This window comes from Homo sapiens, chromosome 16, assembly GCF_000001405.40.
Source record: "Homo sapiens chromosome 16, GRCh38.p14 Primary Assembly".
In the NCBI taxonomy this organism is placed as follows: domain Eukaryota; kingdom Metazoa; phylum Chordata; class Mammalia; order Primates; family Hominidae; genus Homo; species Homo sapiens.
The window spans coordinates 79,494,945-79,516,652 of NC_000016.10; the positions used below are offsets into that span (position 1 = coordinate 79,494,945).

At 43.6% G+C, this 21,708-nt stretch overlaps 1 protein-coding gene and 1 long non-coding RNA gene across 6 annotated transcripts in view; one reads left to right on the forward strand and one right to left on the reverse strand.

The window, feature by feature from the left end:
* The window catches only part of MAF (MAF bZIP transcription factor), a 398,116-nt gene that overhangs the window by 292,323 nt on the left and 84,085 nt on the right, over positions 1-21,708 (reverse strand). The window lies entirely within an intron of this gene.
* LOC124903729 (uncharacterized) lies at positions 10,603-21,350 on the forward strand. Its single transcript, XR_007065128.1, has 2 exons — positions 10,603-10,764; positions 21,037-21,350. It is a non-coding gene; the product is annotated as an uncharacterized LOC124903729 (long non-coding RNA).

Sequence of the window (21,708 nt, forward strand, 5' to 3'; positions counted from 1 at the left end):
AAAGGGTGCAACTTAGGAACAGCCAAATGGAAGCAACGCATAAGGACAGGTATGGTGAGTAGGGTATGGAGCTTCCATTTTCCTCTCCAGGCGTGTCACCCCCCCAGACACCCTGGTGTGTTCACCAACCTAGAAGTTCTCTAAACCAGGTAGTTTACAGTTTTTACAGAGGCTCTATTTGGTAGGCGTGATTGATTAAATCATTGGTTATTGGTGATAGAATAGCAAAAGATGTGGCCAAACTCGGTGGCTCATGCCTGTAATCCCAGCACTTTGGGAGGCCAAGGTGAGAGGATTGCTTGAAACCAGCAGTTGGAGACCAGCCTAGACAACATAGTGAGACCCCATCCCTAAAAAAACATTTTTTTTTAAATGGGACATAGTGTCTTTCACCTGTAGTACCAGCTACTCAGGAAGCTGAGGTAGGAGGATCACTTGAGCCCAGGAGGTCAAGGTTGCAGTGAACCCTGATCACACCACCACACTCCAGACTAGGTGACAGAACTGTCTTAAAAAATAAATAAAAGATGCTCACCTTACTTCTATCACTCAGGAAATTCTGAGAGTTTTAGAAGCTCTCATGCCAGAAACCAGGGTCAGAGACCACATATAGATTTCTTCTTATGCCACAGTTTCTTTTTGCCAGGTAATGTAACATTCACAGGTTCCAGAGATTAGGGCATGAATATTATTCTGCCTGCCGCGACTGTTAAAATGAAACTTTTCTCCTAGTTTTTATACTATCTCAGAATTTTGATGCTCAAAATTCTCCAGCTTCCCTTGTGCTGATGAAGAAAAAGAATTAAGACATGCATGGGACTTCTGCAAGGAGCAGAAACAGTCTCTACACTGGTCCATTCGTTCAACAAATATTTGAGCACCAGCCACACGTCAAGCTTACTTCTGGGCACCATGGACACGGGAAGGAACAAATCAGAAATATCTCTGCCTTTATGGAGTTTCTATTATAGTGTGATGGAGATAACACACACACAAAATAATTAAAATAAATGGCTTGATAGATGTTTTCTAAAATGACTCCAGCAGATTTCCCCAGCTGACCCATGAGATAACCATAGTCTTGGCCACCATTTTTCTTGCAGCCTTGTGCGAGACCCTGAGCTAGAGGAGTTAGCTAAGCTATGCCCAACTTCCTGACCCACAAAAATTATGAGATAAAAATGTTGCTATTTTAAAGCCACTAAGTGTAGGAGTATTTGTTATGCAGCAGTAGCTAACTAGTACGTGTCATGTCAGATGGAAATAAGTCTTAACTTTAAAAAAAATAGAGCAAAGAAAGAGAATAGGGAATTCCAGAGAAGAGTTTGGCTGCATTTTGGAAAAGGGTCATTTCGGAAGATTGCAGATGGTATTGTAACAAATAAAAGACTCAAAAAGGGCTTCTAGGCAGCCATCATTTCAGAGTAGGGTGAGGTTTTCTGGCATTGACTAGCAAAATCAGCAGGCTTAGAACTGTCGTACACAGTGAATTTCAAAGACACAACCTAAATTCTTTTACTGTACTTTATTACTCTCCCTGCATGACACTCCTCAGGTTCTGTTATCACAGCTGCTACTAGAAATTCCCTGAGTCTTATTAACAGAGCAGTTTCTTGCCGTGGTATTATATAACATACCTCAGATATCTGCCTTCATCTATATAAATCGAGAATTCCATATGGATATAGTTTTCAAAGGAGGGAGTTCACATAAGGAAATTCTTCTCTTCATAATGCAGATGGCAGGATCTAGAGATGCTTCAATGCAAGCACATTTAATAAACAATGGGGCTATGAAAATAAACACACCAGTGGAAAGAGTAGCTGAGCTTGCCCATGATATCTAGTGTTCTTCAAATATGCAAATTCATCTCTATAACAAAGTAGGTTTTGATTTTCTAGAATCTGATCATCCAATCATGACAAATCCCTCTGATTATTATTTTTTTCCTTGCAAGTTACAATTTAAGGTTCTACACAGTAGCAGTGGGCCTGAGAATATTGGTTGATGTAATTCTTGGTCTTGGTTGAGGCAGAAACTTAAGTGAGTGTAACAATTTATATGATCAAATAAAAGCTTCTGAATAATAATAATAATAAAAACATCTTTTCTCCATCTCCCAACTCTCTTAAGTCATTTAGTGTCTCCACCAAAATGCAATGCCAGTGACTGTGTTGAAACAGCTTAAATGGTGGCACATAAATTCTCACTCTCTTCTACAAAGGAAGTTTCAGAAATTTGCAAAGGATTAATTGACCTCTCCTTGCCTCCGAATCCTCATATTTAAAACAAGCAATAATACAGAAGAAAAAAAGGCTTATTGTAAGGCTGTTTTCACTGCTATAGACAGGTACTAGTCTCCCCTTAGAAGGCACCCTTTTTTACCAGGATGGATCAGATGCTGCCATGTATGCCCCTCAACTCTCCTCACCCCACTCCACCCGCCTGCTTCCTCTGCCCCTGTTAGCTGTGAGTGCCTCCCAGGAGACCCAGCAGCGCTGCTATGTACAGTTGTGCTGGCTGTGCACTGCCCAAGGTCACTGGCCTAGGAAATAAACTAGGCCTATACCTAGCTCTTTTTTAATTTGCCTTGCCACAAACTCTGCCAGGAGGAAGGGATGCCTTTATCTAATTCACCTCACAGGCCTCATGTGGGTCTACAGTGACCCCAAGACGAGGAATCTGGTGAGGTCTAGACCCGTGGGTTCATCCTTGTCATGCTTTGAACCCCAGCACCTGGCACAATCCTTGGCATATAATGAACACTCAAGAAATGCATAGTCATGAATTGCTGAGTGGATTAATGAAGTAATTGGAAGAGACAAGGAAGGAGAAAAGAGGAAGCCTCTGAATTTTTCCCAGCAAATGAGAGAAAGCTCAGACTGTGGTGGATACAGCAGCGCTGATTCCTGCAATGCCTTGCTCACCTATCTGTTGTTCCCTATTGACTCATGTATTTCACCAGTCTTCTAGCATAACCTCTCCTCTGAGCTCTCCCAGTTCTAGAGACCAGAAGACACCACTCTGAGAGTAACAAGATATGCACAGAGACTATAAAACTAAAGGGACAGGAGCTGAAGAAGGTAGGACTTTCCATTCCCTCCTGCCCTTGCACCCAGATGAAATCAGCAGGACTGCTCATCTGTGGGACTCTTTTGCAGAAATCATCATTAAACCTGAGGTGTGGTCAGGCAGAGAGGAAGTGGTGGTATCTTAGCTCCAGTACTTGGGCACACTTGCTAAGTATAACCATAGATTATAACAACTTAGATCAAGAGGCAGCAAACTTTATTTGTAAAGGGCCACGTGGTCTCCATTGCAACTTCTCGGCTCTGGTCGTTGTAGCAGGTTAGCAGCCATAGACAATGTGCCAATGAGTGGGTATGGCTGGTTCCAACAACACCTTACTTATGGGCACTAAAATTTAAATTTCATATAATCTGTATGTGTGATGAAGGAATATCCTTAGAAGAAATTTGTTTTCAACAGTTGAAAAACTCAAAAGCCATTCTTAGCTTGTCAGCAATGGGAAAACAGGCTTCAGGCTAGCTTTGGCCCATGGGCTTCACTTTGCCTGCTCCTGGCTTAGATCGTGCTTACCTGGTGCCCACCACTGTGCCAAGTGTTTGGTTGTTTACAACTCACACCAGCTCCTTGAGATGGAGGCTATTAGTACGCCCATTATGCATATAGGAACAGAAACAGAGAGGTTAAGTACCTAGCTGAAGTTCATATGCCTGGTTAGTGGAAGAGCTGGGATTCAAATCCATGAGTTTGTTTCTGGAATCCTTGTATATAACATAACCTCTATACTATCCTAGCCCAGTAAGCAAGTGCTTTCTTCTCTTACAGCCCTTGAAAGCTAAGGATACTCTGGTAATTTACTTATTCATTTTTTTATCCATCCATTCTTAAAACCTCTCCTCAGGTGTGGAGTATACAGAGACACTTCAGCACCATCCCTGACTCTTAGGAGAGTCTAGTGGGCAAGGCAGATGTGTAGCAAGGAATTACAGAAAGATACTTCCAAGATTCTCCATCTGGATTTTTTAAGCCTTTTTAGAGAGGAGAGTAGGAAGCCCTCCCCAGATAGACAAGGTAGCACAGACATTTCAGGAGGATTATCAATGAAAGGCACAGAAGTATTTCACAGGCCTACTCGAAGCCAACTTGCAATCTCCATTGTATTAGTCATCTTTGCTGCAGTAACAAGCAGTCCCCAGATCTCTGTGAAGTATGACAGCAAGCATATATTGCTAGCACCCTCTTTTGTGGCTGGGCTGCATCAGCTGTGCTCCAACCTGCAGGTCAAGTTGGATCTGTTCCTTTTGGGTCTCATGCTCATCACAGAATGAAGGAGTAAGCACCATCTGGGACACAGTCATCTCATGGCAAGGTGTCAGGAGTGAACAGAGATGTATGGACTCTCAATGACAACTCCACCCTCCATAGGGAGAGGCACTGCAAAAGCCCATGGCATAGAAGCTATAGTAGGCGGAACGGTGGCTTCCTGCTAGGATCTGAATGTTCATGTTTCCCTAAAATTCATATGTTGAAATCCAATCATCAATGTGATGGTATTAAGAGGTGGAGATTTGAAAGGTGATTAAGTCACGAGAATGGGGTCATCATGAATGGGGTTAGTGCCTTTATAAAAAGAGGCCCCAAAGAGCTGCCTTGTCCCTTCCCCCATATGAAGACACAGGTAGAAGGCACCATCCACGAACTAGGAAGTGGACCCTAACCAGACACCAAATGGGCTGGCACCTTGATTATAGATTTCCCAGCTCCAGAACTGTGCAAAATAAATTTCTGTTGTTTATAAGCTACCCAATATTTTGTTTCAGTAGCCTCAAAAGACAAAGACACTTCCCCAAAAACATATGTCCATGTCCTAATCCCTACAATCTGTGAATATTACCTTATAGGTCAACATTTGTGATTTAGTTACAGACCTGGAAGAGTTTGTCCTGGATTATTCTGGTTGACCATAAATGCAGTCATATCTATTATTGTAAGAAAGAGGCAGAGGGAGTTTAAGGGCAGACACATAGAGAGGTTATATAAAGACAGTAGAGAGAGATGCAGCAGCAAGCCAAGGAATGCCAACAGAGCTGGAAGAGGCAAGCACCGGACCTTTGCCTGGAGCCTCCAGAAGAACCATGACCCCGCTGACACCTCAGTTTCAGACGGTCTGGCCTCCAGGACTTTGAGAGAATAAATTACTGTTGGCTTAGGCCACCCAGTTTGTAGTATTTTGTTACAACAGCCACCAGAAATTAATGCAGAAGCTAAATCTGACACACACACAGAGAGAGAGGGAGAAAGGAACAGTGAACAATAATCCCATCTGCCATCTCCACCAACATTCTTCATGGGATGGTGTTATGTTGTTGCCTACTAGGTGGTATGTGCTCTTTGGGGTTAGGCAAACCTCTGTCTGCACAACAGCCTTCCAGCTTATAGTAACCTAGACAAAAGTCTCCACAAGACCTCTGTCTGCAGAAGCGCAGACACCATGTGTCATACCCCAGTAGTTGCTTGTCATGAAACTTCCTCTGTCCCCAGCCATCCTACTCCTTCTTCTCTCTAAGCCACTGTTTCTTCACACCACGGTAGAGATTATGAGCTTGACTGGTCCCACCCAGAGGCTGGGTGGCTGTAGGCAGAAAAAGTACACAAAGTTCTGTTCATCTAATCTCTCCATGGCTCAGAGTATGCTCCCTGGGAAGCATTCTAGGACTCGTCTCTGGGAAAGGTACACTGCATCAGCATCACAGTGATTTTTTACTAGAAGAGTAAAAAAAGTACCAGTAGAGATGCAGACTGACTTCCTGCTGGAAACTTTGGGACTCATGGAGGTGTCTGCCTCTCACTTACTGGATGAGACATATAGCTAGACCTTCTCAGAGAGTGTATGGAAGAATCTTGACTGCTGACTCAAAATACTGCAAGCCCAGTTTCTCTGTTAGGGAAAATTCACCGCCATATTTTTTGGTGTTGCTATATCCTGATCATGGGCTGGCTCTTGTTTCTCTAAGCAGAAAAGATCTGACCCACCGCTAGTGCATTTGTTGCCTAGGGCTTCCATAAAGGGATCCTGTAACAGGTGGGTTACATCAACAGAAATGTATTCCCTCCCAGTTCTAGAAGTCCTAAATCAAGGTGTCACCACACTCCCTCTGGAGACCCTGAGAAACTGCCCCAAGCATCTGTCCTAGCTTCTGGTGACTGCCAGCAAGTCTTGGTGCTCTTTGGGTTCTGTCTACAACACTCCAGCATCTGCCTCCTTGAAGGGTTGTCAGATCCTTCTTTTCCCTCTGTATCTGTCTTTGTGTTTGCTCCTCTTCTTATAAGGGCACCAGTCATTGGATTTAGGATCCTCCCTAATCCAGTATAACCTCACCTTAATTAATTACATCTGCAACAACTTTATTTCCAAATAAGTTCACATTCTGGGGTTCTGGGTGGACATAAACTCTGGGGGGACACCAGTCAAGCCACCAGAACAGGCAGTAGGTCTTGTCTGCCTTTCCATTGGCAGTTAATCTAGCAGAAGTCTTTATTTTATGTCAAAATGCTTGAGGCCACATTGCATTCAAAGTCTAAGTTAATTTTCCTGATTGGTAAATTCTTACTACACAAATCTCACAGAGACACCCTGATCCCCTAACTTCAGTGTTGATGCTGAAATTATGCTGACTGTCAAAATTACATCAAACAACTGAAGTTATTTCCACCAGAAAAAAATTGATTATTTCACTTTGATTTACACGGCATTCTTCCCCCTCACCTAGAAAAGCTGACTTTGAAATCCCCTTCGGCACCGGACAATGAGAAGCAGGCTGTGTTTTAAATGGAAAAGAAAACTTCCATTATATTTGATACGTATTTTCTCTCCTTGATTTGAATGTTATAATTGGATTGGTGAGATATTTATTAGGAACTCTGTATTTTTCCCCCGCCAGCGGCTTGAAGGGCATCTCTTAACTTGCTTCTCTTTTTGGACTTCTGAGAAGTGGCTGTGAGGTATTATTCCCAACAAAACTTATTTCTTTCAACCATTTATTTAAGGGTATCAATTTCTTAATAATTCTGAGGATAATTCAGAATAATTTTCACCACCGCTGCAATTTTTAACTTCAGTGAATACGTGTCATCTATTTCTCCCAGCCGAGTACCCTCTCAAGAGCCCCTTGTCGTGACAGCCAGAAGGACTCAGAAAGGTACATACGGTGGAAGGAGCATGGCTCCTGAGGCCCGGCTACTTCCATCAGCCTCACCATTGACTAGCCAAGCACAAGCCTGCTGGCCTCAGGTTACCCATGGCTAAAATAAGAGCATTAGGCTTAACAAGTAGCCTGAAAACTTTTAAAGCTTCTGTTTTACCGAACTCTTAACCTTAAGAACAACGTGAAAAACAGACTAAAGACTCATCAGGCTAGGCACAGTGGGTCATGCGCCTAACTCCAGCACTTTGGGAGGCCAAGGTGGGTGGGTGGCTTGAGGTCACAAATTCGAGACCACTCTGGGCAATATGGCTAAACCCTGTGTCTACAAAACATACAAAAATTAGCTGAGCGTGGTGGTGCACACCTGTAGTCCCAGCTACTCAGGAGGCTGGGGTGAGAGGATAGCCTGAGCCCAGGAGGTGGAGGTTGCAGTGAGCTGAGATTGCACCACTGCACTCCAGCCTAGGTAACAGAGTTAGACCTTGTCTCCAAAAATAAATAAATATAAATATAAATATAAATATAAATATAAATATATATATATATATATATATATATATATATATATATATATATATAAAGACTCATTAGCTCAATGAGGGTTTGCCTGTGGAGAGTGGTAGGGGATTAATTATAAAAAAAAACCCAAGGGAACTCTGTAGGGTGATGGAAATATTCTTTACTCTCTTTAACGTGGTGGTTACATGGGATAATCCACTCATCAAATTCATCAAACAGTACACTAAAACTACACACATCTTAGTAAATATAATTAAGCCTCAATAATGTGGATTAAAAAGCTATCAGCTTTTATCAAAGGAATTGGGTCAAAGTATGTAAAAATCAGTAAACTATCTAACATTCTCAAGTAGTAGCATTGCAGGAGAGCCTGGGGGTTCAAATTCAAGATATTAAGTTGCTAAGAAGGACAGCTTGGTTTACGGGCTGGGCACAAGTTCAGAAATCAATTATTTCTGAATTTGAATGAAGAATGCCCAAGATTTTATTAAGTTTGTCCTTTGTTTCTCTTTGTTCAACAACCACCTTGTTTCTATTTTATTCACTCACTCAACACGTTTTTATTGAGTGTCTACACTGCTCCAGAAACGATGCTAAGTAGTTAAATCCCTTGATATACTAGCCACAACCACAAAGCGACCATCATTTAGATAAGTTAAAATTTTTATTTACAAGGACTCACATTTTCTAAGAGCTTTATAAAAAATTTTGATAATTAAAAAAGTTTACTACAAAATTAAAGTACATAAAATTCTTTAGGACTGAGAACTTAAGCCACTATCATCCCCAGTTTAAAATCTCTTCTCTTTTCTTTGAGATACATCTCCCTACTGGACAGAAATCAATGATCATACTGCCTTCTTTTGATCATTCTTTGTGGATTTCATTGTGGCTGGATTCTCTGACTCTACTCTCCAGAGTGTGAACTCCTGTTCATCTTTGCCTACAGAGGAACTGCTTTGTTTAGTTTTCTTGGACAAGAAAAATCACATGAGTGTTCCTGCTTCCCTTTTTACTTTGGTCACCAGGAAGCTCAGAACTAATTGTGTGGCCCAATCAGAGCAACTGTGTTGAATTGCTTGGTCCGTGTTTCTGCCTTATGGTTACTCCGTAGTCTTGACCTTCTTTCATAATGTGTAATTCTGTCATTATCTTATTTTTACTTTTTTGGTAATTTCTTAAGTGTTGATTTGTCACTATATCCTATAAACCACTTATAAAATTAGGCCAAATATTAATAAATAAAACTATTAAATCCATAATTTCTGTCTGTAACATGTTAACTGTTACATTGCAGGGGCTCAGTAAATATCCCCAAATTTCTCCCAACCTCACAGTTTTCAAGAAAGGATAAGTTCTTCCACTCATGTTCTTTTAAATACTGCCTATCAGAGGGTGTTATCTAAAATTAAATATTCAGATGTGACTTTTCACCTTCTGTTTGGGCCATCTTAACTTGGCCGTTATGCTGTAGCCTGAGTTTAAATACACTTAAGCTGAGATATTTGAAACCATTTTTAGAAAGAAGGAGAACCAAACTAAAATGCCTAATAGGAGTCATCCAGTTTCCCTCCCCTTTTGTCCCTTATAGCTGATAGCCTCCACCTGACACCAACTACCTGTCCCCACCACTCAGATAAGCATGATATAACAGAAGGAACTCAGGCTTTGGAGATAGTAAGAATGAATTCCAGTTCAGCTTCTTATAGCTGCATAACTTCGACAAGTTACTAACTTCTTTGAGCCTATGCTTTCTTATTTTGGAGACAAAAACAAGTATCTTATTGGGATTTCTCTGAAGATTAGGTGGGAATCCCATGTAACATAATGTGTGGCATAAAACAATTACCCAATAATTCTTACTTGAATGGATGGATGGACGGATGGATGGATGGATGGATGGATAAATGGATAGAGGATGGAAGATGGATGGGTGAATGGATGGATAAATAAATGAATGGATGAATGTATGTTTGATGGATGGATGGATGACGGATAGATGGATGGATGAGTGGATGATGGATGGATATAAAATGAAACTATGTCTTCAAACCTGGCAATCTCATACATTGGACTAAAGAAGCTGTTCTCTGTATTTTCTTGCCAGAGTTTGGAGGGGACAATATACATTTTCCTCATCTCTTTTCCCTTGACTACAAGACTATGACTTGTATGAATGCCTTGTACGAACACACACATTCACAAACACATACACACACAGTGTGGAGTTACTATTCTGTTTCTCAGGGGTGTCCAATTCTGTTTGGGGGTTGCCACATTTGCCCTTTTGGAGTATGCCCTCATCTGCAAGTATTTATAGCATTTTTCACATTTTAGAAAAACAAAACCCTGAGGATGACTGAGAACAGCCTTGTCTTCAGCTACGTTTTCAAACACAGATCTTACCTACAAGGTAAGTTATTTTATTAACTCATTTTTAAACTAAAAATTCCAAGTAGGAGGAAAACAGGTGGAAGATATTGCTGCTTCACAAAATTTTGTAAAGCATTGACATTTTTCTTTTCTGAAAAACAGCCAAAAAACACAATTCAAAATGTAATCTGGAAATCCTGATTATGGATTTCATTCCCTGCCCCAGTGTTCCTCTACAGAGTGAGGGGCAACTAAGTAACAAGGGCTTTTCTACTGCAAGGTGACAATTTGAAGGGTTTTGTATATTTTGTGAGGCTGGTTTGTCCTTGTCCCTCAGTCACGGGACAGGGGGGAAGCTTGTCAAAGGAGGAAGATTAAAATTTATAAAAAGGCCACAGAAAAGGGGACCCGTTGTTCCTAGGGGAAGAGTCCTCTGATCACCAGTATGTCCGGAAGCTCTTGCTTCCTGTCCAAAGCATAGCACTAAGACAAACAGCCACTCCCAGGGCGCAGGGACCGGAGACAATGCAGATTTCAGGGCCCGAGGGATGCATCACTGAGGGAGCCACGACTGGTCTCTGGGCCTGACGGTAAACCAGGGCTGTTAAGTGTTGCCCAGGTGGCCAGCAAGACAAATAAGGTGAGGCGACTGGGGTCTACATCTTGCATTCCTGTGGCCAAACGGTCCCTTGGAAGGCTGGAAGGCCTGAGGCCAGGAGGCCATGGGGATAGGGAGCTGGGGATAAAAATGCACTCATGAGAAAAGAAGCAAGAGATATTCACGTGGCAGTGACCAGAATGCGGGAGAACTTGGGACATGGCAGACAAAATCTGCACACCCAACGCAAAGAACAATGGATAGAAGGAAGAGGAAGGAAAAGAGAAAGAAAGAAAGAAAATAGAGAAGGAGCAAAAGAAGGGAAGGGGAAAGGAGAAAAGGAGGAAAGAGAGGAGGAAAAGAAGAGGGAGGAGAAGTCGTCATTTTTTCCCAGGCTATAAGGAAGGATGTCTCTCCTACTGAGCAGCATAATTTGATCCCCAAGAGTGAAATATGCAATAAGAAAGAGATTTCTTGGAGTTGGATTAATGATAGTCTAAAAATGTAAAATCAACTGAATATTTACTCTGTAACCAGCTATTGTCCCAAGTCCTTTCTTTGTATTCCATTTCCAGGACATACATCTGAAATGGATGCCTTCTGTAGCCTCATTTTAATGCTAAGGAAGCTGAGGCTCGGCAAAGTCCAAGGCCTTGGGTTCCTTTGCCCATGATTTTTTTATTTCCTGGGGGAAGGACTCAGGGTTTGAACAGAGAGTGGCTCAACCTCAGAGTGTGTGCCCATGACCAATATCTCTTAGCGTCTTTGGCAAGCAAAGCAGCAGCTGAAGATCCCCAGCCCAGCACCCATAAAGGGTGAGGCTCTCCTGCATGGGAACTGGAATCATGCATAGCAGAGAGAATGTGGGGAAGACCTGAAACCAGGGCTGGTAGATAAAAAGGAAGACGGTGAAGTGTAGAACCAAGAAGAGGGGCCAGAGAGGAAGGCCAAGACCCAGAGGCAGTATTTTACTTTTCACAGGAGGGGCTGGATGGAACTGTGTTGAGGCAACACTCATGCTGTGTGCATGGTGCACCTAGAGGGGCATGGGTCTGTGAGCTGTTCAGGGTCTCACTGGGTGATGAAACAGCAAGAGAACCAATGATGCTGCCACTGAAGGAGTGAAGAAGAGAGATGGGGAGTAGACTCAAGATGGGGCCAGGTCAGAAAGAGCCCCAAAGGCTATGATAAGAAATTTGGATTTTATTTTTAGTGGGAATGGACAAAAATAAAGGGTTGAAACCAAAGAAATGCCAGCACTGGACTTAGAGGGGTGTATAGGAACTCCTGGGTACTTTGTGCTCATTCCTTCTGTAAACCTAAGACTGCTCTTATAAATAAAATCTAGAATAATATCTATCTTTCTTCCTATCTGTCAACCTCTGCTGTTTGTGTGTACCACTAGTGTTATTTAAAAATAAACCATGCTTAATTAACTTTTCTGCGTCTTTTTTTTTTTTTTTTTGAGATGGAGTTTTACTCTCTCGCCCAGGCTGGAGTGCAGGGGCGTGATCTCGGCCCACTGCAAGCTCTGCCTCCCGGGTTCATGCCATTCTCTTGCCTCAGCCTCCCAAGTAGCTGGGATTACAGGTGCCCACCACCATGCCTGGCTAATTTTTTTGTACTTTTTTAGTGGAGACCAGGTTTCATTGTGTCAGCGAGGATGGTCTTGATCTCCTGACATTGTGATCCGCCTGCCTTGGCCTCCCAAAGTGCTGGGATTACAGGCGTGAGCCACCAAGCCCAGCCCTTGCATCTTACTTTTTTATTTTTTTTGAGACAGAGTCTCACTCTGTTGCCCAGGCTGGAGTGCAGTGGCATGATCTCGGCTCACTGCAAGCCCTGCCTCCTGGGTTCATGCCATTCTCCTGCCTCAGCCTCCTGAGTAGCTGGGACTACAGGCGCCCACCACCATGCCTGGCTAATTTTTTTGTATTTTTAGTAGAGATGGGGTTTCACTATGTTAGCCAGGATGGTCTCGATCTCCTGACCTCGTGATCCATCCGCCTCGGTCTCCCAAAGTGCTGGTATTACAGGCGTGAGCCACCGCGCCCGGCCGCATCCTACTTTTCTACTCAACATGTGTTTGGGAAATCTCGTAAATGAACTGATAAGCATGTAAGTCACTGCAATAAGGGTTGCCAAATATCCCATTTTCTCTAGTACTCATAAGCATTTTCTTCTGTTGGAGTTTGTATGCATCCATTATAAAAATATATAAAATACCTAATTGTTATTACCTGAAAGCATTAGACTTGGGTTTCATGAAAATCTCATTCTTTTTAAGTGGGGGAAAGGGCCTATTTGGTGATGGCCGCAGTCCTGCAGTGTGAGAGGATGGTGGATCAGAGCAGAGCAGGAGACATGGACGTGAGGACTAGATTTGCAGCAGGAAAAAGGGATGGAAGAAGAGTCTCCACCACGGGGAAGGAAGAAGGCGCAGCATGGGAGCAACCCTTGGAAGGAGCGGGGAGTCATTCATTGCAAACCCTGAGCCACTGTGCAGGGGATAATTCTGCCCTTCCAGATCCACTGTGCTCCCTTGCTCAAATCTGCCTCACCCAGGGAGGCCGCGTGGTGTCTGGATTGGCTGAGCACCTCTCAGGTCTTCTGGCTTCTTGTTGGACTTGGCCAATGGGGAGTGTTCGCAGGAGGTAGGCAGCAGAGTGAAACTGAGTATTCATTTCCCTGACTCCTTCCCTCTCTGTGGGGTCTCCACTGAACTGCTTTCTCCATGGGCCTCTCTCCTCCTGGGTGTAGGTCACTCCTTCCTAGCCTTGCCCCTTCATGCCTAGAGTGTAGCAACTCCTGCTGTTGCCAGTCCCAGGGCGCTGCTCAGCAGTACTGCTTCTGCTTCCCTCTCCAGTGCGTTCTTGGCACCTGCTTTGCACCAAAGGCTCCCCAGCTCTTCCGGCTGAATATGCCGTTTCCAGCCAGGGCTCAACAGCTACCATCCTACCAGAGCCCACTTTCCTACCCTATACTGACTTAAAGTAAATTACATATAGCACAGACTACATAAAGGAAAATCTTGCACAAAAACCAAAAACTTGCATGGACCTCAAAAACATTATGGTAATTGAAAGAAGACACACCAGAAAGGGCATGTCTCATAGGTTTCTATTTATCTGAAATGTCGAGAAGAGGCAAATCCATAGAGACAGACAGTAGATTAACAGTTCCCAAGGCTCGGGGAGAGGGAATGGGGCGTGACTCTTAATGGGTATGAGGCTTCCTTTGGAATGGGGGGAAATGTTTTGGAACTGTATAGAGGTGATGTCTGCCTGGCACTGAAAGTGCTAAAGGCCAACAAATTGTATACTTTAAACCAGATAATTATATGTTAAGTGAATTTCACCTCAATTAAAAAATAATAACTATAATTCATGATAGCTACTGCTCTAGTCTTCATATTTATATCTCTGTTTATCTCCTTTGGGGCTTTTACCCTGGACACACGTAGGTTGCACTGCTGAAGTTACTTGACTTTTTTGCTGCCTTGGTGAAACCATCTCCGAGGCGTGGTAGCAAACCCTTGGCATTCTAAGCAGAAGCAGAATAAAAATAGGACTTCTCTTTGAAAAGGAGAAGTGGAGACGTGAACCATGCTGGTCTCTAACAAAGCCCTCTAGGCCCTGGTTGTGATGCACAGCCCAGGAAGGAGGAGGCAGTGAGGAAGGAAGCCACAAGAAGCGGGGCACATTCCCCACATCCAGTCCTGGGAGGAGAAGCCTTTGTCTCTTCCCTCTCTGCCGTCAGCTTTTGCCAGAAGAGCTCGAATGTTTACACAGCTTGGCTGGCAAGGATGTTGGCAGCGGGGCCCTTGCTGGATGGAACACGAGGCCCTGCTGGGGCTCTGAGACCAACTCTGATGCAGACCTCTCCCGCCTCCCACCCGCCTTCCCATTCCTGGCTGGAGAGGGCCGGGTCTGGGCCAGCACAGGGCAGGAAAGACCTGGGGATATTGGCCAAGGCCTGCGTTACCTTGGCCTGAGCGTGTAATTCATTCACAGTGGGGGCCCAGGGCCTGGCATGGCATTGCCTCTCCCTCAATTTCTCTGGGGATGCGTGCTCTTTTAGGCCTGGTTTTGATATCACTCCACTGTTATCCACAAAAGCACCAAACTTATTTTGTTTCTTAGGCTCTGATGAGCCTCTTCTTATCAATGCCTCTTCTGTGTCTACTGGTGAGAATTAACTTGTCAGAGAGAGCCACATCCAGAATTCATGGAGCAACTGGGTTGAAAGGGAATATCAGAAAACCCCAGGGAAGGGACTCACCGCTGAAGGATAGCGGAGGGTATCCTGAGTTTGCCGTAGGAAGCAGGGACTCTTCCTAAATCGCTTTGGACATGGCAGAACAGTTACAAAGTCACTGGAATCAGGTTTGTAAGAAACTCTGCCATTTACTAGCTCGGCGATTGCAGGACGGCTACCGAACTTTAAGCCTCAGTTTCTTCCTCCATAAAATGGGTACAACAACTGTGTTTATCCCCTGTATGGATTGTGAGTTAAAGGCAAATATAGTGCTTAGAAGCACATTGGCCCACAGCAAAAGGGCTCAATAAATATTGCCTATTTTTATTGAACATATATTTGCCTCCTCTTGGCTTCTTCATTGCTCTCATTTGGAAAATGAGGACACTAGAAGAGAGACTGTTTCTCGAGAATCCTCTGATTGTAAAGCTGTCTAATTCTGAGGTTTTATTAATGTTTTCTAACTGGTCCTGGAGGTGTGGTATCTCCCCGCAGTCTGGGGACTATCACCCCACCCTTCAGAACAGCCTCTGCTTCTTTCGAGATGTTCTGGGATGGAGACACAGTTTGGGTTCCAGAATAGAGGCAGAGTTTGGGTTCCAGAATGGAAGGTTCTGTTTCCTTCCATTGCACACACTTTTAAGGCAGTTGCTCATCAAAGGGACAATGGAAAGCCACCCTGGGATCTATTTACTGTCATACCCAGAAGACTTGTGACCTAAACAAGCACACAATAGGGACAGCTTCATGGGCCTGTGACCTGTGCCCTCAAAGGGGACATACACATCGAATGCTCTGCTGTAGCTGTCTTGACATTTTAATAATTTTTGAACAAGAAGCTCCACATTTTCATTTTGTGTTGGGCCCCACACATTGGGTAGCTGGTCATTTCTGCATGCAGGCCCTGAAGGTCACCACTGTCCAAGTGTGTGCAAGTGTGCATTTGTGTGTCTATATGTGTGGTTGGGACAGAGAGGGATTCTTTTGAATTTTAAGTTGCTATATGTGAAGAGATGCTTCTATCAGCACTGGTTGCAGAAAAGAAGCCCAGCTAATTGTGAGTGGGTTCCAAACCTGGCCCCCTGCACCTAGAAGATATAGTCAACCCCACTGCAGCGGCAGCTGGGAGGCCAGAAAGCAGCAAATGAGCTGACTCATGAGAATCTCCCCGCGCACAATGGCGGGGTGGTGATTTTTCTCTGCCTTACTTCTGTGTCTCCTGCAGATGATGTATGAATTGCCTTATTTACCTTTTCTCTCCAAACCTTCTCCCTTATTATTTTTATTAATGTCATGCCAACCCCGAAAAGGAGTTTCCTTTTCAAAAAAAAAGAAAAGAAAAGGAAAGAAAAGATCCCCCAACACGTCATTCTCATAGCCAAGAGAATGTATTTTTTAAAATACTAGTATTTGTGTGTATGTGATTTAAGAGAGAGAGAAAGAGAGAGAGGGAATGGTTTACTTATATGAGAGTCCAAAATTTGAATAGAAATACTAACAAATTCAGGTCTTTATTTCTGAAAAGGCCAGACTGCCCAGGAAAGTTTTATCATCTTAACTGACAATAAAAACATTGCTGCATTTAACAAATTTTAATTTCAAAAATAAGGGAGACGTAGAATGCATTTAGAGCCAGGAGAGAGATGTGTGCGGTGTTACATGCACAAGAAGCATGTTACTGGCTTCCCAGCAGCCTGATCCTGGCACTTAAGATAATATGTATGGTACATATATCTCTGCCATTTATTGAGTGCTCACCAATCGGCATTCAGTAGCCCATTGGGCCTGCAAAATTTCCTGTGAGATAGGTGAGTCCCAGCTTACAGAGGATGAAACTGAGGCTTAGAGAAAATCAATAAACTTGCCCAGGGTCACACATCTCACACTAGAACCAACATTGGAATTCATCTCCATCTAGCTTCAGAGCTCATGGTAATAAATTCTACATATTTACCTCTGCTTCGGTCTGCAAACATAAGCCACCTTGATTAGCTGCAGCAAAATACCAGTCACAGATTGGCCAGACTGCTGCTCTGTTATATATTCAACATCTCAGGGGACAGAGTTGAGAAGTGATCTCTCTAACCTGACACCCAGTGCACGAACTTCTTCTCCAATATTCCTTGTTATGGATTCTTTTTGATTATTCCCTGTGATGGCGAACTCACTACCTGTAGAGACAGCCTGCTTCATAATCCCATAGCTCTTTGAATGACAATGTTTTTCTTTATCTTGAAAGACAGATCTTTCATCCTCTACCCTTGGATCTAAGCTAGAGGCACAAAGAACAGGCAAAGCTTCACCTTCAGTACAGGTGGGCCTCCCAGACTCTTTATTTTAAGGCAGAGCCCCTTTCAATTTCTCAGTCGTTTCTCCACGAAGCCAGTATCCAGACCATTTTCAAGCCAGCTCAGGGTACTGGTCTCTGGTTGAAGAAAATGAACCTTCCAGCTTTGCCCATCTGCACATGAGCTTTGAGGGTTGGGGGTCCACTCCTAGGCCAGCGGTGCAGTGGGTTCCACATTCCATGGAGCAGATGTGATCAGCTTGGGTTTCAGAATCCAGGCCCATCTCCAGGTGTCCTATTAGGGGAGAAATGGCGGCTCCACCTGGACCCCCAGCTCACCATCTGAGCTGACTCTCTTCTGAGAAGAAACCTCCTTCTGCCCGGCAGTTGGGGAGCTCATTATGAATCCTAGGAAGGTGAGGGTGTGCCGTTTATGAAAACAACTGTTTAATAGCTCCCAGATCATCCATATTCAAATGTGAAGAAAATAATGGTAAAGACGTAATAAAGTAACAGATGTGCGTGAGTCAGGTTTTGTGGCAGGAAAAAATGTGGGTTTGCTGGTATTGATTTCACTCTTCCAAGGGTTAAGGATGGATGTAGGTGTGTTTCCAGGATGGGTCTCGCAGAGCCCAGGGCCGTGGGCAGCACAGCGCCGAAGACATTCCACACGTGCTGTATACCTGTATAGGCACACGCATCCATCCAGGTGGCTGCAGATGTCAAGCAGCGCGAGAGAGGGGCTGAGTTGCAACACAAAGGTGCTGACTGCTCAACTCATGTGACCACAGAGCTAGGTCTGCCCAGAGGGAGTGCCTTTTCACCTTTTCCCACTGTGCATAAAGTTGCCTGTAAGCACCAGCAGCAATGCTGTGAGCATAAATGCACGTGTGCATGTGGGTGTGCAAGCTCACACTCTCACACTGGTCCTCACCAGGGTGGAGGACAGACCAAAGCCCTATAGCCCGGGCGACAGCCCCTTGCTCCAGGCATCAACAGCCAGATACTCAACTCAGCAGTAGCTTAGAGGCAGCCTGTCGCAGTAGACGGAACAGGTTTTACAGCCACAGAAACATGATTTTTAATTCTAGTTCTGCAACTGACTAGCTATGTGGCCAAAAGCGTGTCACAAAACCTTGCAGAATGTCAAGTTCCCCAACTGGAGCATGAGAACAATGAAAGAGAATCACCTTATGGAGCTGTCATGAGGATTTGAGATAATAGACGTGCTAACTTCCTAAGCTGCTCCTGGAGCACAGCAGACGGTCAATGAAACAGCATTTTGGAAGTAACTGTGCAGTTGAAGGCAAATACATGGGAGGGAATCTAGCAAAGTGGTTGTGAGCAGTGTTTCTGAAGTCAAACAGCTTGAGAAAGGAATTCTAGTTTTACCTTTGACCAGTTGCGGAATCTCAGGCAAGTTACTTAATCTCCCTGTCCCTCTGTTTCCTAATCCATAAAATGGAAACAATAAGCTTGTTGAGCTTATTGAGCTCATGAGCCTGCTGTGGGAAATAAATGAAACATATGTTTAAAAGCGCTTAGCTGAGAACCTGGTGTGTAGGACACGTTCCATATATACTACCTAATAGTATTGCTTTTCCAACCCAGTGAAGGCTGTCTTTTCCACCGGGTAGGCTGTGTCCCATGCAAACTTTCCTGGATGTGAAAACTCCAGTCTTTTCGGCACTGAATATCTCCGATGCAATTCAAAAGCACGACAATAAATCCTCATCAAAGGAAAGAATGGAATCAATAAAAAGAACACCTTCCCCCCACCCTTCCCCTCACCACAAAAGAGGAACATTTAATATCTGTTCTCAGTGTCTATTTTATCCCTCCTTCCCCTACATTTTAGTAAGTTTAATTTCTGAAATGTTTAACAGTTGTTTTCAGATAAATCACAGTCAAGCTTTCTGGCCCAATTCATAGAACTTTTCATTGCACGGGGGAAATAAGCTCTTCCGGCTTGTTGGAGAAAAGCAAATGTGTTCTCATTGTCTATTCATAGTGGAGTCGCTGGGAAGGGACCTTGAACGCGCAGCTTGTCAGACTTCCCATTACCTATCATTCAAATGTGTAGCAGAATTCTTTTAAAAATTGATTGCTGGGTTTTTGTCTTTTGTTTTGGTGGGGGAGTGGTTTACAGGTATGGTTTCATAAATAATAGCTTTGTAAAGATGAGCTTTCCTACAAATAATATGGAAATATTCACAGAATGGGTGCAAATATAGTATATATACATGATTCCAAAGGGGGACATCCCAAATTCCTTGTCAGTTGAGAATTGAAGACTGTATCAGCTTATGACCCAGAGCTTTGATTTTCCTAAGCATTTCCCTGCATGGTAGCCACACCACCAGTTTCTTCCAGCAGAATGACTGAAAATTTAGGCTGTAGTGGCAGAAAAATCTCGGTTTGAAACTAAGATCTATAACTCCTATGGATAGTCCCTGTCTACCTCTACAGACCCAATCTCCATCCTTCTCTATCCAATTCTGTGCCCTGGGAGGCTGTCGTAGGCGGCCTCTATCAATCAGGGACTCCATTGTTTTCTGGATGCTGGCTGGATTTAGCCAACGAAGTTCACTGATAGCGGCTTGGAAGCCAGATAAAAGTATGTTTGGTGTAAATTCTCCTGCGCTTCTCTCCAACAGACCTCATGGTTGCAATAGGTATTTTTCTCTTCGCAAGCCCTTTTCTTCCACTAGGACCCTAGGACTCTCTCTGGGCTCTGACTTGATGTCTCCTTCATTAACTTGCCACCATTACCGTGCTCAAGTGAGCATGAAAGATGCTTCATACTGGCTGACAAAGACTTCATCTCTTCAAACCTCCGCTCACACCTTTGTAAATGGGGGACAGAAAAAATGTCTACCTCATCCAGGTGTAAGGATCAAATGAGATGACACAGGTAACATTATGGCCTGACACAGACTTCACTGTGTTCAATAAATGGCACCTGTTATTTTTCGCCATTGTCATTGTCATCCACTTAGACTTCAACGCTGCTGACCCTTACTCCTAGTAGTCCCTGATAATTGTCTATGCTGGCGATTAGTGCCACTCATCAAAATACAGATGGTGCCCAACTTTTGATGGTTCCACTTATGGAATTTTTGACTTTACTACGGTGTGAAAGTGACACACATTCAGTAGAAACTGTACTTTGAATACCCATACAAACATTCTGTTTTTCACTTTCAGTACAGTAGTCAATGAATTTCCTAAGTTATTCAACACTTTATTACAAAACAGACTTTGCGTTTGATGATTTTGCCCAACTGTAGGCTAACGTAAGTGTTCTGAGCACATTTTAAGTAAGCGAGGCTAGGCTAGGATGCTAGGTAGGTTAGGTGAATTAAATGCATTTTTGACTGATGACATTTTCAGTGCATGGTTTATAAAGCTATAGCCCCATCTTAAGTTGAGAAGCGTCTGTATTTACAACTCTCCTCCTCCCAGATAAGAGGCTGGGCCGTGCTTCCTGCCCTTGCTACACTTGGGCATGAACGTGAGACCTGCCTTGACCAGGAAGAGATGTGAGTGGCAGTCACATAAGTTGCCTCCAGGAAGGAGGTCTGAGATCCAGTGATGGAATCACTACATTCTATCAGCCTCACTGATCACAGAAACATAGGTTGAGATGGAGCCTCCATCATATGGAGTCTGAGTGACAGTGACAATGGGCATAGCCCCTCTTGCTAACCCACACTGCACATGTTACTTGGACAAAAATTAAGCCTTTTTTTTTTTTTTTTTTTTTGCAGTGCCTCAAGCTAAGGTAAATGAGGACCAGAGAGATGAAGCTCCTGGCTCAAGTGGCTCCTATCCCATGATTCCAGCTCTCCAGCAATTCTCCCCCACTCCCACCTCTATTCGATTCTGGGGCCGAAAGCCAGCAAGGCAGAGCCACTGGGACCTTCCCTGCCTGAGAAGCGCATAGAAGTAAGACCCTCGAACAGGTCCAAGCTGGGCCCATCACAGAAAACAGATGTCCACTGAGGGTCCAGCATCGGGATTTAGGGCTATTTTTTACAATGTTACTGAATGAATAAATTCCCCCAAGACTTACATTTTAAAATTTAAGAGTTGTCACCTATTCTGTTCTAAGGATGCCTAGAAGGAATATCGGCTTTAGCTCAACTTCCCATGGCGAAGGGGAAAACTGCTGTGTGCTATGATAAATGATTTACAAACCTTCTTTGTTTAAAATTTCCTTAGAACAAGGCAAAGGTGAGTATTATTATCCCAGGCTCAGAGAGGATGAATGAGGCTCAGAGATGTTAAGTAAATTGTCTAAGGTCCCAAAGCTAGTAATAGATGTAGTAATAATTAATATAATACATGATGATTTTAGTTGACATTTGTCAAATGTTTACTCTGTGCTAGACACTGCTAATCCCTTCCTGTGGATTAACTCATCTGTGATGTGCTCATGG